We start from the raw sequence: 4,802 nt of genomic DNA, 5'->3' as shown, positions 1-4,802 counted from the left end.
CCTTCCCTCCATTCATTGCTTGGTAAATCACACTGGCCCTGTGCTGTTTTCTCACCACTCCTGCCTCAGGGTTTTTGTACTTTCTGTCCCATCTGTTTGAAATGATCTCTTCCAAGATAGCGACATAGGGAGCAGCCCACTTTCTTCAGGTATTTACTTGAAAGTCACCTTCTTGCTAAGGACTTTCTTAGCAATCCTAACTAAAATTTCACCACCTGCTCCAACACTCAACATTTCATATCCTCCTTTCCAGTTTTGATTTGTTTTTTGTATCAAATTTGCCCATTTGCTTTGTTAATCATCTTATCCATTAGAGTATAAGCTCCACAAAGGAAGGGATTTTTCTCTGTTTTGTCCCATCCCTACCCAGCAACTAGAAGAGTTTCTGGACCAGATGAGGCTTACAATAAATCTTTATTGAATGCTGAATGATTTCATTCTTTCAGTCATCAAATATTTATTCTGCATTTACCAAGACATGGGTATTATTTTGGACACATGTAACACAAAAATGAACCAGAAAGACAAGGACTGTAACCTGGTAGAACTTAAAATCAAGAGAGCAAATAATTAAGCAAGTGCCCATTTAATACATGTAAACTGTAAACTTCATAGAAATTAACTAAACTCCTTAACATTCACTGTTCTGAAGTGTCACTGCTGGAATAAACACCCAGAAATTTTAAATTACAATGTTAACCCTCTTTTCTTTTTGCATTGCTAGAATTGACTTAAATATGCTTTTATTTAAATTACTAATTCACCTCTTTGTTCTTACTCACGATGCCCTTCATTGGGTCAGAATTTTGTTGCTGTTTGGATCTATTGAGATTGTTCTCTAAGGTATTAAGGATTATCATTAGATGAAGCTCATCAATCATTATTATTGTAGATAAGCTTCATTCGATATGCCTTTCAAGAACATCAAAATAAGAATAACAACTATTTCATCTCACTTGTTCTAAATGAAAAAAAATCCTTTAGCTTATTATTTGCATAGGACAATGTGAAAATAAAATCTGCTAAGTGGCGTATTTCATGGTTCATACTAGAAGTTCTTTTTGAAAAGGTAAGATTGCCTATTAAATTTTAAAAATTTTAATAAATAGCTTTAAAAAAGTAATTATGTATTTTTAAGTTGATTATTAAAATCAAAATGGATACTTAGCCGAGCGCAGTGGCTCATGCCTGTAATCCCAACGTTTTGGGAGGCTGAGGCAAGTGGATCACTTGGGCCCAGGGGTACAAGACAAGCCTGGGCAACATAGTGAGACCTGCCTCTTAAAAATAAATACATAAATAAATAAAATAAAAATATAAAAATAAAAAAAGAATGGATACCTAAAATAGGGATCTATTCAATTTTTAATATTAACTCTCATTTTTTTTTAGATTGGAGATTTTCACAGAGAAAGTAAGCTTTTTAAAAACGTATTTTTATGTATGTTTTAAGAAAAAAAAAATTACACCTCCCAAACAACAGCATCTAAATTTTAGATAGACATTGGTTGGTGTTTCAGGAGATAATTATATATGTTATTGTATATATGTTGTTCAGCAAGTATGGCAGAAATCTCTGCATTTGGAAATACATTATATCACAAAGGAAGATTTGTCATCTCCATGGCTATTTGATGGTGTAGACTTGAGGTCATGGCTTGCTCACTGTAATGAGAAATAACAACAGATGCTATTGATAAAAGTTCTGCCAGGTTCATGCTATGCCTTATTGAATGCAAAAAGGCCTGGCTCTTATCCAATCATTATCCTTTTCATACTTTGTGGTTTTTGATGAACATGCCTATGAATAGAAAATGATTATCTACCTCTTCATTTCTTTACTTATTTAATCGTTTCTATTTCAGTCTTGGTGAGGAAGGATCTTTTAGTGTATAAATGCCGTGAGCATTAGTAGGAGATAAACTTTTTTTTTTCTTTTTTTTTTTTTTTTGGTAAATGTTGGTCTCTGAAGAAGAAAGATCTGTTGTTCTTTTCTCAGTTTGAAACTAGGAAGGGATCAAAAGGCTAGATTCAGGATGTTAAAAGAAAAACTTCAGTCAAATTAAATTTAAGCACATTTAATTGAGCAATGAATGATTCAAGAATTGGGCAGCCCCCAGAATCATAGCAGATTCAGAGAGACTCCAGGGATACCTCGTAGTTAGAACAAATTTATAGATAAAGAAAGAAAACGGTGTACAGAAATCGGCAGTGAGGTAGAGAAATAGCTGGATTGGTTACAGGTTGGCGTTTGCCTTAATTTGAACACAGTTTGAATACTTTGCAGTCTGTAAATGATTGAAGGTATGGCCGCTGGGATTGGCCAAGACTCAGCTATTGTTACAGGCACAAACTCCGAAGTTAGGTTTTCAATCTTGTCTGATTATTAAGCTAGGTTACAGTTTGTCCACAAGGACTCAAATATAGAAATACGAAGTCTTTCTCAGGCCATATTTAGTTTACTTTAAAAACAAGGATAAAGCCAGGACCATGGAGGAGGGACAAGGCAGTGGGAAAAGAGGAAACCAATGGAACGAGACTTCCAATCAGCCCTCCTAGATTCTGTCCATACATGCAGAGCACTATGTCAAAGACATTACATGGTTACACTTGTTACTGCCCTGTTCTTAGGCTCCCAGTAAAGACTTGGTTATCACATAACATGAAACTTAAGGGCCAGGCACGGTGGCTCATACCTGCAATCCCAGTACTTTAGGAGGCTGAAGCAGGAGGATTGCTTGAGCCCAGGAGTGCAAGATCAGCCTGGGCAACACAGTGGGACATGGCCTCTACAGAATTTTTTTTTTTTTTTTTTTTAAATATCCAGACACAGTGGCATGTGCCTGTAGTTCCAGCTACTTGGGAGGCTGATGCTGGAGGATCACTTGACCCCCTGAGGTCAAGGCTGCAGTGAGTTGTGATTGTTCCACTATGCTCCAGCCTGGGTGACACAGTGAGACTTTATCTCAAAAAAAAAAAGAGAAAGTTATGTATACTTCTTAAAAACCTGAAAGACAAATGCAAATGCATTGGCCTAATCAGGGTAATAGCAAGTTTAAAGTGATGACACAAATAAATGATAATTTTATATGATTTTTTCCCAAATCATAGTAGTTCCATGGAAAGTAGCAGGAAAATTGTAAATGCTTAGGGATGGGTGAACTATTCATCCCATGTTTCTTCATTGTCATTAGCACTAGCATAAAAAATTATAAATGCCCAGATAAGTTCTATGGAGTGCGAGGTGAATGCAGAGTGAGATATACAGCCCTGGCCTTCATGGTGCTATACAGATATGGGACTGCTGAGATCATCCCTTCTCTAGGCGAGAAAAAGCATAGTAGCATATTTTAATTTTTTAAAATTAGTCAGTTTGTAGGTATGTTGTTCTTGGAATGAAGGTCTCCAAAGTCCTCTGAATTAAAGAGCATAATTTCTCATTAATGCAATCTTACACATTCAAAGAAAATGCAACACCAAATTTAAAACAATATTTTTTTAAAAGACAAGACATTCTGGCCGGGCACGTTGTCTCATGCCTGTAAACCCAGCACTTTGGGAGGCTGAGGCGGGCTGATTGCTTGAGCTCAGGAGTTCAAGACCATCCTGGGCAATATGGCAAGGCCCCCGTCTCTATTAAAAGTACAAAAAAATAGCCCGGAGTGGTGGTGCACACCTTACCTACTCCAGAGGCTAAGATGGGAGGATTACTTAATCCTGGGGAGCCGAGGTTGCAGTGAGACGAGATTATGCCACCGCACTCCAGCCTGGGTGACTGAGGGAGACCCTGTCTCAAAAAAAAAAAAAAAAAAAAAGATGACATTCTAAATTGAATTCTAAATCATTTTAAATAATCAACTCTGAATACAGAGAATGGAAAATCTGAATTATTACAAATGTTTAAAAATAAGAATAAATGCTCTCTGAGAGGAGGATCTATTTTGTCACACCTACTTTAGTTCCCCTGAAATTGGTCTTTTCTGCCTAATTTTGGTTTTGTTAGGTATTCTTTCTGGTTGAATAAGACAATGGCATAGCTGAATTCTGCATAGGTAAATTGTTTCTGTACTTCTTCATGTTAATTAAATTCATCTATATATTTTTTCATTACTTTGTTGGAAATAAATTTAACACATTATGTAACAATAAGATATCTAAATGGCATACACAGGATTCTCAACAAAATTTGAGATTATAATTACTTGGAGAATCTCAGGAGATCAGTCCTGCTAAAAGTTATTCCAAGCACATGTTTTCTAGAGTAGCCTATGTCCAACATTTTCATCACTGTGCACTCATCTATGTATTTTTAATAACATAAATCTGAAGTCTTTAGTCATCCTGGCCCTGAAACAATTATTGATGTCCATGAAACTATCAATTACTACCTCAATAGCAGAATCACAACGTGTTGCTTACGTTTAACTCTCTCTTATTGGCCTTGAAGGTAGATGTTAATAATTGTGTGTGTGTGTGTGTGTGTGTGTGTGTATATATATATATATATATATATATATTATTTTTTTCCCCATAACCGAACAGGGAGGGAACAGAGATCATTTTATACACTGGAAGCTTTGTTTGGCAGTCTTAATTGAGACACCGCTGGCAAGAATGCTTTCAACTTCTTCCCCATAATACCCAGATAGAGCCAAACTTAGAAACCCTCCAACTCTCCGATGAGTAAGGTCGTTAAACAGATGAAAAATAAGAAAGCATCTGGAATGATATCATCCCTGCCAAATGTTCACACTAGAGAAAGAGTAATTCATGTAACATCTCTGTATTTTCCTCTTGAGATG

The sequence above is a fragment of the Homo sapiens genome, chromosome 4, assembly GCF_000001405.40.
Source record: "Homo sapiens chromosome 4, GRCh38.p14 Primary Assembly".
NCBI classification, from domain to species: Eukaryota; Metazoa; Chordata; class Mammalia; order Primates; family Hominidae; genus Homo; species Homo sapiens.
Note: the sequence above shows the minus strand (reverse complement) of the source record.